Source organism: Homo sapiens, chromosome 8 (assembly GCF_000001405.40).
Source record: "Homo sapiens chromosome 8, GRCh38.p14 Primary Assembly".
In the NCBI taxonomy this organism is placed as follows: domain Eukaryota; kingdom Metazoa; phylum Chordata; class Mammalia; order Primates; family Hominidae; genus Homo; species Homo sapiens.
In genome coordinates this window covers 128,144,731-128,156,898 of record NC_000008.11, presented here as the reverse complement: position 1 = coordinate 128,156,898, position 12,168 = coordinate 128,144,731, and the positions used below count along the sequence as shown (strand labels likewise).

The window sequence follows — 12,168 nt, the reverse complement described above, 5'->3', positions numbered from 1 at the left end:
TTTTTGGTTTTTTTTTTTCCTTTTTCTGGAGAACGGGGTCTCGCTATATTGCCCAGGCAGGTCTCGAACTCCTGGGCTCAAGCTATCCTCCCGCCTCTTAGCCTCCCTGAGAGCTGGGATTACAGGCGTGAGCACCGCACCCGGCCTAGGCTCTGTTCTTGTAAAGAAAGTTTTATTGGAACAAAAAAAAAAAATCCATATATTTACATATCATCTATGGCTGCTTTCCTGCTGTAACAGCGGACTTCAGTAGTTGTCACAAAGACCGAGTGATTTACAAAGCATAAATATTTACTATCTGGCGCTTTACAGAAAAATAATTGCTGGTTCCTGCCCTAGAACAAGGTTTCTCAAACATTAGCCTGCATCAGAATCAGCTGGAGGACTTATTAAACAGATGTAGCTGAGCCCGAGACCCAGAATTCTGATTGGGTAGGTCTGGAGTGGGACTCAAGAGTTGCACTTCTAACAAATTCCCAGGTAGATGCCAATGCACTGGTCTAAGGACCACACTTTAAGAACCACTGCCCTACCACAGTGGTTCTCAACTCTGGCTATATATTAGAATCACCTGGAGAGCTCTAGTGTTGCGCCCTGGGATATCAGTAATTGCTGAAGAGCTGGCCGGGCACGGTGGCTCACGCCTGTAATCCCAGCACTTTGGAAGGCCAAGACAGGCGGATCACGAGGTCAGGAGATCGAGACATCTTGACCAACACGGTGAAACCCCGTCTCTACTAAAAATACAAAAAATTAGCCAGGGGTGGTGGTATGCGCCCGTAGTTCCAGCTACTCAGGAGGCTGAGGCAGGAGAATCGCTTGAATCCGGGAGGCGGAGGTTACAGTGAGCCAAGATCGTGCCACTCCACTCCAGCCTGGTAACAGAGCAAGACTCCATCTCAAAAAATAAAAATAAAAATAAAAATAAGCTTCCTGGGATTTTTAGATTTAGAACACTACTTGGGAGCAACGCTTTTAGTCATTAAATTATTGTTTGAGCAGCTACCATGAACAAGCAACTGTCTTGAAAACCATTTTGAGGACACAGTACTGAACCCGAAGGAACTCCTAGTTTGAGGAGGAGACACACGGATAAATAGCAAAAGGGAAGCTATGTGCATGCTGGAGGTGAGCATTCGGTGAGAGGGACATCCCAGGGATGAGCTGTCAGGCAAGGCTGGGAGAAGAGTAGGAGGAGGTTACCTGGGGGAGGTGACACCAGAAGCAAATTTTGAAGAGAGAAGTGTAATACACATTTCACCAATAAGGAATATGGACTCAAAGTTTTAGGTCGCTTGGCTAGGATCACATTCTAGTATGTGGCGGGTCAGGGTCAGGAGCCAAACCCAGCTGTTGGAACATTTCCTTCACACCCCGAAGCCTGTTTATGTTTGTCCTTCTGCATGACAGGTTAGTCGGGGGTTCTGTTCCAGACTCCAGTCTCGTACACGAATGTAATGACATCTACAAAATAAGTACCTTCTAGAGTTGTTGTTGTTGTTAAATGATGGATGTAATTGAATCGTGGTATGATTCAGAAGGCACATCAGGGTCTTCAGGTGTCTCAAGGCCATCCATTCAAGCAGCAGTCATCCAAATATTCTAGGTACGTCAGAATCCTCACTCATCTACATTTCTGGTTGAAAATTGTTTTGTGTATTACAGAGAGACAAGAAGATATCATTTGCCTCTGGATGGAAGTATACACCACCACCTGATGTAGTATTCTTGCCTGAAAATCAAACTTAAATTCAATCAAGGATCTAAGTACCATTTACCAGGAAAACAGTGAACCACAGAGAGGCAATCTGAGAAATCCAGACAGAATGAATAACTCAGTGCAGAACAAACAACTCAGCTTCTTCAATAAATTTAAATTGTGAGGAAAAGTTTGTTATGAGCTAAACTGTGTCCCCTCTTTACAATTAAGATGTTGAAGCCCTAACCCCCAGTACTTCAGAATGTGACTCTGTTTGGAGATAAGGCCTTTAAAGAGGTAACTACGTAAAAATGAGGTCATGTGAGTGGGCTCTAATCCCATATGACTGGTGTCCTTATAAGAAAAGGAGATTAGGGCCGGGTGCGGTGGCTCAAGCCTGTAATCCCAACACTTTGGGAGGTCGAGCAAGGTGGATCATGAGGTCAGGAGTTCGAGACCAGCCTGGCCAGCATGGTGAAACCCCATCTCTACTAAAAAAATACAAAAAATTAGCCAGGCATTGTGGCTCATGCCTGTAGCCCCAGCTACTCCAGAGGCTGAGGCCAGAGAATTGCTTGAACCCTGCAGGCGGAGGTTGCAGTGAGTGGAGATTGCACCATTGCACTCCAGCCTGGGCAACAGAGCGAGTCTCCAACTCAAAAAATAAAATAAAAAAAAAAGAGGAGATTAGGACACAGATGGTCCTACAAAGGACCATGTGAAGGCATACAGAGAAGATGGTAACCCACAAGCCAAGGAAAGAGGCCTCAGAAGAAACCAACACTGCCAACACCTTTATCTCAGACTTCCAGCTTCCAGAACTGTGGGAAAATATTTCTGTTGTGTGAGGCCTCCAGTCTATAATATTTTATTATGGCAGCCCTACTACACTAATATCGGGTTCCTTCTCTTTAGAGCCAATGCTTAGGGCATTATTCAACATACCTTTGCAAACAGCCTCCAGCAACTTCCATCAGCTGGTCTGGTCTTTGGTTACAACTTCTGGCATTATGTAATAAAAAGTCTTATCCTTCTTCCACATTTGAACCCTTTACATGAGGAAAGCTGCCTGCTACTCACAAGACTTCCCTTTTCTGCCCTAAACACCTCAGTTCTCTCACTTGTTCCCAGGCTGCGGCTTCCAGACCCTCCCCAAGCACGGTGCTCTTTAAACATCTGAAGAAGGCCTACACCCTTGAAGGCTCGCCTTGCTCAGGGCTTATGAATTCGCTGTTCCCTTTGCCAGAGACCATCCTGGCCTCAGATATCTGCTGGGCCCACTGCTTTGCTTTGTTTGGGTATCTGCTCAAATGTCACTTCATCAGAAAAATATCCCCTGGCCTTTTCATCCTTCACCCCTTTACTTTGCTGCTTCTCTTTCTATAGCATATATTAGACATTTATACAAATCATTATGGGTTGTCTGTCTCCATCCAATAAACTGCAAGTTCCCTGAGGACAGGTACTCTGTATGCATCCCTGCTGCATCCGCTGCACTGAGGACAGGACCTGTTGTTCTGAAGGGGCTCAACCTGTATTTCTTGGATGAGTGAGTAAATGATAGCTGTTTTTAAAGTGAGGCATTTCAGTTCCAGGTCACAGCAAATATCTTTGCTTATTTCCACCCCTTCCCTTTAAAAAGGCTCAGCAACAAGCCTAAAAGTAGCAGAAGGAAGCTCTGTCAGCGGCCACCCAGCACCCTCAGAATCACTCCCCCCACAAAAAAAAAAAACCGCCAGCCCGCCCAGGCTGCAGCTGGACAGCCCGGAGACACTTCGTGGCCATCTGCAGACCACCGGGCCCGTCAGCCGGCTGGGGAGACAGCAGGAGGCCTCAGGGACACGTGCTTCAGGCAGACGCGCACCCACCCCGAGCACATTCGACTTTCTCCTCAGCAGACGGCTCGTTTGCATCTGCCCATGTGTACCTTGGCTTCCACAGCCTCTGTTTACAAATCTGGGTCAAGGAAGGACAGGAATTCCAACAACACGCGATTTACAGAAGCCGGCCCGCGGCCTGTTCTCATTTTTCCTTGTAAGAAGGCCGTGTGGAGCAGCATTGAGTCACTGGAGTTGGAAGCCACCCAGACCTAGTTGATGTCCAGCTGTCATCTGTGTTTACCATCATTGCAACTTGGGGAAAATAATATGATCTCTGTGAGCCTCTGTTTTCATGCCTTTTAAAAAGAAGATAATGATACAAGCTTATCAGAATTAGAACTGGTATATGAAGAGAGTAGCCCATGGAAATCATTCAATAATTTGATATTATTATTTACATTCCCAAGTAATGCTCTAGTGTGTCCCATCTCAGGCAGAATCCTGGAGTTGTCCTTGATCCCACTTTCTCCCAAAGACAATTGGCCACGGTTCTACCTCTTACTTTATCATGAATTCAGGAAGACTGGCTGTTCCTAGCACAGGCTCAGGAGTTGTCCCCTGTGATGTTGGCCATGTCTCCACCACTTCTGGCTGGGTGATGTTGAGCATGTTATTTATCTTCCATGTGACTTCGTTTTTTAATCTGTAAAATAGAATGACAATGGTAGGTGTGGAGTTAACACTGTTGATTCCCTACTAAAATCTTCTCCCAACACTCTTCTCCATTGCTACCTCTTGTATGGAAACTGAGAAGCCAAGTATCAGAGTTCCTACCCTTCTCTGCATCCAGGGATGTGCTGTGACTCATTCTGGCCCAAGATACAAGCAGAATTCTGCTGATAAGTGTTGACAAAGCTTGAAGGTTAGGTTATAATATCCATGGGAAATGCTTACAGAAAGGACTGCCTAATAGAACAGAGATGCCTGTGGAATGAATGTAGCAAGGTAGACACCAAGGAGGAAACAGAATTCAACGAGAAGAACGAGGTGAGGACCAGGTGCTATGAGAAGATTTCAGGGAGGTGGATGGTGCTGGAAGAAAAGATAGGACCTGGGCAGGGCCTGGACATCCCACACTGCTTTAAGACAATCTCGGAAGCCGCCTGTTCCTTGAAGGGAGCTAGTTAAAGAGTCAGTACAAGGGACCCACCATTCATCATTGAACTGTGAAGTGGTTATAAATTGGTCTCCACATCATCTGGTTTACATGGCGCACATTCCAGTCACCATTAAGTGTGAACGGTGTCTTTCATCTCATACTGTCTGGCAGCCGTCTCACCAGACAGGGCAAAGCTTTGCGGGAAACCCCAGGACATAGGGCTGTGCACAGCAAGGTCCCCTGGGCTGCTCTGCAGTGGCCACAGCCCCACTTGGGGGAACACTCATGTATGATACCCCCTCATGTGCCCTGTCCCAGCTGGAGAGCTGCTGCATTGTGTCCAGGCCCTTGGAGGCATAAAGGTCATGGAGAGATGTCAGGAAAAATTCCAGTGAATGGGTCTGCTATAATCACAGAAACTGCTCCTCACTTTCCTGAATGTCGTGGGTCCCTTCCACCCACCCAGCCACCCCATGGTAGAACCGCTAATATTGGGGAAGAAGCCAGAAAACAAACAGACAGAAAACATTCCCCCGAAAGAGTGGCTCTTAGGTGTCCCAACAAGGTGAGCAATTACGGTCCAGAGAGTGTCCAGATTCTGACTCCCAGCAGGGGTGGTGCTAGCCCCAGCTTGGAAATTGTTCAAATATGTAAAAGGTTATATTATGCTAGGCACTCAGTAGCCCTTTTGAAAACATGTTTTAAATACCTTCAGTGTCTAATTTCTCATAGGCTTAACCTGGAACACAACCACACAAATGTTCTTTCCAAAATGCAAATCAGACTGTGTCACTTTCCTACTCAGAGACTGGTGGCTCTGCCTTAATGATGAAATTGAAGCTCAGCCTGGCAGATGTGTCCACTGTTTCCTCTTTCTCATTTCTCTTTATATGGATGCCCCAAACTCATTTATATTCCTCAGACACACAGTGATACTCCTCCCTGCTTGCTTCTGCACATCATTGCATTCATTCAATAACATACTCATTCATTGAATGAAGATTTATTAAGCACTTACTGCATGCCCATATGTTACTTATTAGGATACAATGATGAATAAGAACAAATGCCTGTCCTCAAAGATCATATCGTCAGGAGTACTCATGCCTGGCAGCACATCAGAATCGTCCACAGGGCTGCTTGAAAGCACAGAGGTTTGGGCTTCATCCTATCTCAGAATGAAAAGAGAGGGAAAGGAAACAGCAAGCAAAAAAATCATAAGAGAATGAGGGGAGCTGATTACAAATTTCTCCTGTTACCTTCCTGACAACCAATTGGGTGAATGGGCTGGGCTGTAGAGCCAAAAAGACTGGTTCAAAACTCAGGCATTTTTATATTCTGGCTTGCTGGGACATTTCCCCTTTGCATCTGTGGCTGTGAAATTATTACTAGTTCTCCCTTTTACTTTCAAAAGTGCCCTGTTTTGGATGATAAGTTCTATAATCACCTTATTCTATAGTCAGTTTTACCCTTTCCTACCCGTGAACACGTGGGGGAAATGGCTGCAACTTTCTGAGCCTCAGTTTCATGGTCTGTATCGTAGAGTGAGCCATACCTACTTGAGAAGGTGTGAGAATTAAATGAGATGATGTTTGCCAAGTGCCTGGCACAGTAGATGTTTAATTCACAGAAGCTGTTGTTATTGTTTGCCTTGTAGAAAGTGGTTTTCATCTGGTCTGCATTTTTCACTGTCAAATGAAACGAGACCTCAACGATGAGAACATTGAGATGAAGCACAGAGCATTTATATCGGTGGAGAGGATGGCCTGGGTCAGCAAGACATTACTTGGGTAGTCACTGGCCAGGGTGACAAGCCTGTCTTAAGAATCTCTGTTACAATATTAAAACTTCAGCTCAATGGCCTAGAAAGCTTAACTTTACTACCCTCCTTGTTGGTTTAAATTTCTATAGCATTAGGTCAAATGCCAGCAATGGGCCCAGAAGGAGGGAACCGCAGTCTATTTTGATGTCCAGGGTCAGGCTGAGGAGAGAGACTGACACATTATCTGTCTGGCTGACTGTCCACTCCCCCCCACCACAGTGGTGACTCATCAGAGGGCGAGAAAGACCCGTCTCCGCCTGTCTGAACAGTGATTCTGCCGGTGATTCATTGTTGCCCACCAGAAAGCCCCCTTCTTAATGTCCTCTTTCTGAGCTCTTCAATTAGCATTTGAGGCCAAAGGATATTTAGAGGGAAGGGAGGGTAGAAAGATCCGCCAGTCGGACCGAGTGTGGCTTCACTCAGTGGCAGTGGGACACAGGGAGGGAGAAGAGGAAGTGCTGGGTACGGCTTGCTCCCAGAGTAGGAACTTGGAAACAGCTAGAGAAAAAATATATATATAATAAATGGTGAATATTTATAACATTGCAGAGGTCCTTAGGGGTGAAGGAATCTCACCAAAGACAGGAAGAAGGGCCAAAACTTTATAGAAATTAGAAATCTTTTTGGATGACATTGCATGAAGCTTGCTATGTGAATGGATTGTTTAAAAGTCTAAGGTATGTCAAACTGAAGATAAAGTGGATCAACATGAAGAGAATATTTGTAGTCTAGGATAAAAGGAAGACTAAGGCAGGACTTATCCAGTGCTGTTCTAGAAAGACAGTTACTGAGGCTGGTAGATATTCAAGTCTCCAGAATTATCCATAAGTTCTCTAGTATGGGCCTAAAAGTGATTAGTTTTCCCAAAGTGTGATAGGTAAAATTAGTAACATATATACACATAAAGAAAAATTCTTTTAGGAGTAATCTGTGCATTCATACCACTTGTACATCAAACCAAGATTATCACATGTATTTTTCTTTGAACACAATTAAGTAAAAATATGCAAACTTTTTCTTTCTCCAGACATGCCAAGCTTCAGCTGAAACTCAAGCCTCATGCAGTTTTCTCTGCTTGGAATGTTCTCTGCCCAGCCTTCACCTGCCCAGCTTCTTGTCCTACAGGTCTCAAGTCAAATGCCTTCTTCTCAGTGAAGACTTCCCTGGCCACCTTGTCAACATAAATGTCATCTGGTTATTCTCTCTCCAGCCTGTGGCCTATTTTTTCTAAAGAACTTTTCAGAATCTCATCCATATCTTGGTTTACTTGTTTGTAACCAGTGTCTCTCCTCCAGAATGTAAGCTCCAGGAGAGCAGCACTTCCTCCTTGATGTTATTCCTGCTTCAATCCTTAGCGTCTAGCCCAGTGCTTAATACAGATTTGTTGAATAAAGATCCATTAAAGTGAATTATGGACTTAATAATGCCATTCTTGCATTGGGGAAAAAAAATTGTGGAGTTGTAGTAAGGACATGGAGAACCTGGACATGGCCATAGGAAAGTGTAAAATGTTTGGTGATAATTATACTTTTCCCCCTCAAATGAGCCACAGACCTGAGAGTTAGGTAGGGATGAACTGTTTTCCCATGCTGGTAAATATGAATTAGAACACATGGCTTAGAAATGAGTCAAAAACAGGTTTCCCACTCCTGCCTCTTCTGATAGAGATGACTTACTCAGTTACAGCTAGAAAACTTCAAGCTTCTCTCTTTCGTTTCCTCCCTCCTTCTCTTTCCCACCCCTCCTATCACCCTGACTCAGGGAAAGGGCTGTCCCAGGGGACTGACCTTACAGAAGAGGTAGAAGCTGAGAGAACACCTGTGACTCTGAAAGCCATTCTTTCATGGGGAAGAGCAGACTAGGATAGAAGCTTCCTCCAAAGCTCTTCTGAGATTAAAATTTCTATATGGAAGTGAGCTAATGCAGGAATGGGTGGAAGTAAAATGGATTTCCCTAGAGTAAATATCATGGTCATGCATGTGTCATGGGAGAAAAGGGAAGCTGAGGACCACTGTAAACCACCATCAGTTCCCAGAGATCCGGGATTATGTCTTCAACTACTATTCAGAGACCACTGATCCTAGCATGTATTTTGTGCCTGGCACACAGTAGTGGTCAATCAGTGTGTGCCTAACAGTGTGCTCCGAAGGAATGGAAGACTATATGAATGATTGACTATATGAGTGATTGAGTGAATAAAATATGCATTATACTTCTGCCTCTTACAAATCTAGTTAATGTGAGTCTAATCTTAAACCCTGCTCACCTTAGAATACAGAATAAAAAATATATTTTTTAGACACACAAGGCTGAAAACGAGAATCTGGACAGAAGTGACCCCACTAATTTCTGGCAATGTTGTAAACCCTCTTGGGACACCTTTTAGCCCCAAGTAATCTGGGGATCTTACAGTGGGTAGTTCACATAACCTGTGATGAACCAATAAGCCATCTCTGCCTGCATTCAGTCTCTTGAGGAGAGGTTCTTAACTTAGGTCCATGAACTCTTCAAGGATCAGAATGCAGACACCTGGAGGCCTGGGAAGAAAAAGGAAAAAATACAGCTTGATTTGCACTCACCTGTAATTGAAATTTAGTATTTCTATCACTTGTGTATGTAGACAACACACAGTTTATTAGCAATAGCTGTGATTTTTGTCATCCACAGAAATGACAGATAATTTCATATCATATGTCAGCTGTGGCAGAGATCATGAAATATTGCCCTCGTGTCTATTTCAAAGTTACATTAGTTACTGAACTTCTGCTAGATCTTCTTTGATGCCTTCAAATAGCATATAGAGCACTTGTGGTACTCAGGCTTCTAAGATGACCTTCAATGACTCCACCTTCTGGCTTTCACAACTCATTTTCAGCTCTCCCTTGAGAGTGAGCTGAACCTAGTGACTTGCTTCTCATGGATAGAATAGGGCAAAGATGAGGAGGTGTCACATCCACGAGGAGATTATAAAAGATTATGACTTTGGTCTTGCTCACACTCACTTTCCCTCTTACCTCCTCACTCTGACAGAGCCAGAGGCCACGTTGTGAGCTGTCCACAGAGAGGCCCACATAGCAAGAAACTGAGGGCAGCTTCTGGCCAAGAATCAGTGAGGAAATGAGGCCCTCAGTTAGACATCTTGTGAGAAACCAAATTCTGCCCACAAGCCTGTGAGTGAGCTTGGAAGCAGGCTCATCCCTAGGCCATCTCAAGATGACTACAGCTCTGGCAGACACCTGAATTGCAGCCTCATGAGAGATCTCAAGCAAAAGGACCCAATTAAGCCACGCCCAGGCCCCTGACCTGCAGAGACTGGGAGATAATAAATGCCTGTTGCTCTAATACACTTTTTGTTGCTCAGCAATGGATAACTAATATCATTTGTGTGTGTGTGCATGTGCGTGTACTGTTCCATAACAGTTTTTTGCTATAATTAGTTTCCTTTGAAATCCCATGTATCTTTATTTAATTCATTTAAAGTCATTATTCTGAGAAGAGATCATAGGCTTCACCAATCTGCCAAGGAGGTCTATGCCACCCAGAAGAGCCCCTGCCCCAGACTCTGTTTTGAAGAAGACATGGGTTCTTGGAAAAGGGATTATATATCATTATTATTATATAAAGGGTATATATATATATATATATATGTGTGTGTGTGTGTATGTGCATGTGCGTGCATGTACAAATACCACATTTTCTTGAGTTGGAGGTGGTGAAGTGGAGTTTGGTCCAGCTGATGGTTGCTCCCCTGAGGTTGGAGCAGTAGATTCTCATCCAGACAGCAAGAGACACCAAAGGGAAAGAAGAGAGCAGAGAATCTGTGTGGCAAGTTTGAGCCCAAAGTCTGAAGAGTGACAGAGCAATGGGGCAGATAGAGAAGACAGGGATAGAGCCAGGAATGTCAGAGTTTGGGGAAAAAGAGGCAACCTGAACTGCAGTAAAACAGGGGTCCTGAGAAAATTCTGTATCCCCAAGTGATTTGGCCTGATTAAATTAAAAGCCTGGATCAGCAAAGAGAATGTCATCTCCCCTCCCATTTAGAGTAGAAATCCCTTGCTGTGTGACAGGCATTTAGGCACTGCTTTCTTGCACCTGTTACCAAAGTCTGCCCGCCCACCTAAATGGTAAGCTCCTTGGGGGCAAGGCCCATGTGTTCTTGTTTCCTTTTAATTCCAGAGATCTACTGCAGCATATATGTTCACACATCAAATATCTGCTCAGAGACAGTGCTGGGCCTGGGAAACAGAGATGAATTAAGTTCAGTCTATCTTGAGTTGATTATGGCCTAAAGAGGGAGACAGATCAATACAGGCATTGACATTAAAGAGCTTCAGTTCAAATGTGAACTGCATTTCTGACCTCCAACCCTTGACTTTACATCTGTTAAAGAAAGGTATAACACTCATCTTGCTGGTTTGTGGAACATTAAATGAAATAATATACTTCCAGAGCCTTACATAAGGCCTGACATGGGGCAGACACCTCTACCTTGCTTCTGATTCTCACACCATTTCCAGTCTTATGATCACAAGGCCACAAGTGTTTATGTGAGATCAAATTCCTGTGTAAAAGCTGTGGCAGACTTCTAAAGACAAGTCCTTCTCCCAACAAGCTTTCCTTCTCACTGCAAGATAATGTTCACCCACATGCCATGTTCTGTGAGCTCTTGGAAGCAGAGACCATGTGGGACTCATTTTTGCAACCCCAGCAAGTAGAAGAGTGCTGCATCAAAGGAGGGTCTGTTCAGCACAGGTTGAATGAATGACTAGGATGATAAATAATAAATCACAATAAGCTCTCCAAAATCGAATGCAATAATGTCATGCAGGAAAGGTCATCATGAGCTGGAGGACAGGGGCCTTGACCTGGCTCTTTCAAATGTGGAGGATTTAGTTGAATGCAAGATAACTGGGGTAGAGAAAAGAGGGAGATAGTGAAGGCCCACAGTCACCTCTGGAGAGGAAGGAGAAATATTGACGAGGAGGTGTGTAAAAAAGCTACAGCGGCCTCTGCCAAGTTTCATTTTAAAAGAGAAAAGATCAGAAGTAACTGTGGCAAATGTCAACATGTGTTAAATGTGAGTGGTAGGTGCAAAGGTGATTAGTATATTCCCTATGCTTCTTGCTATGTTGAAAATATTTCATGACAAGAGAGGAAAAAGGATTTTAGGTGGGAAAAATGCCACAGGCAGGTGCAGAGAAGTCAGGAGACATGTGGCAAATACAGAACAGGAAGCCTTGAGGTAGACTTCTTACTCAGGTCCTACAGGCCAAGTCCCAAGTGCGGGGCAAGGGAGCAAGCTTCGTGCTGTCCTTGGTCCTGAACCAAAACCATACCCTTGAGCATTGCTATTTCTAGTTAAAAAGCAATGGGTTCCTGCCTAATCCCCCCAGTGCTCAGAGGTTTCCTTAGTATTCTTTAACTTAATTTTTTAACTTATTTTAAGTTTATGCATACAAGTGCAGGTAACATAGGTAAATTTTTGTCATGGGTGTTTTTTGTACAGATTATTTCATCACCCAGGAATTAAGCCTAGTACCTGTTAGTTGTTTTTCCTGATCCTCTCCTTTCTCTCACCCTTCACCCTCTGAAAGGCCCCAGTGTGTGTTGTCCCTCTCTATATGTCCATGTGTTCTCATCACTTAGCTCCCACTTATAAGTGAAAACA

General features: G+C 44.2%; 1 long non-coding RNA gene and 1 other non-coding gene across 2 annotated transcripts in view; both read right to left on the bottom strand.

Moving 5' to 3' along the window:
* The window catches only part of LOC124902020 (uncharacterized), a 35,839-nt gene extending 29,864 nt beyond the window's left edge, over nucleotides 1-5,975 (bottom strand). Inside the window, exons 1-4 of the long non-coding RNA XR_007061107.1 lie at nucleotides 5,697-5,975; nucleotides 4,082-4,222; nucleotides 2,645-3,875; nucleotides 1,480-1,732 (exon numbers count right to left, since the gene is read on the bottom strand). This is a non-coding gene — a long non-coding RNA (uncharacterized LOC124902020). The remainder of the gene's footprint in view (nucleotides 1-1,479; nucleotides 1,733-2,644; nucleotides 3,876-4,081; nucleotides 4,223-5,696) is intronic.
* A 735-nt stretch (nucleotides 5,976-6,710) lies between these two features.
* Nucleotides 6,711-6,783, bottom strand: MIR1208 (microRNA 1208). The gene has a single exon (NR_031613.1). It is a non-coding gene; the product is annotated as a microRNA 1208 (primary transcript).
* Between the last annotated feature and the right edge of the window lie 5,385 nt (nucleotides 6,784-12,168).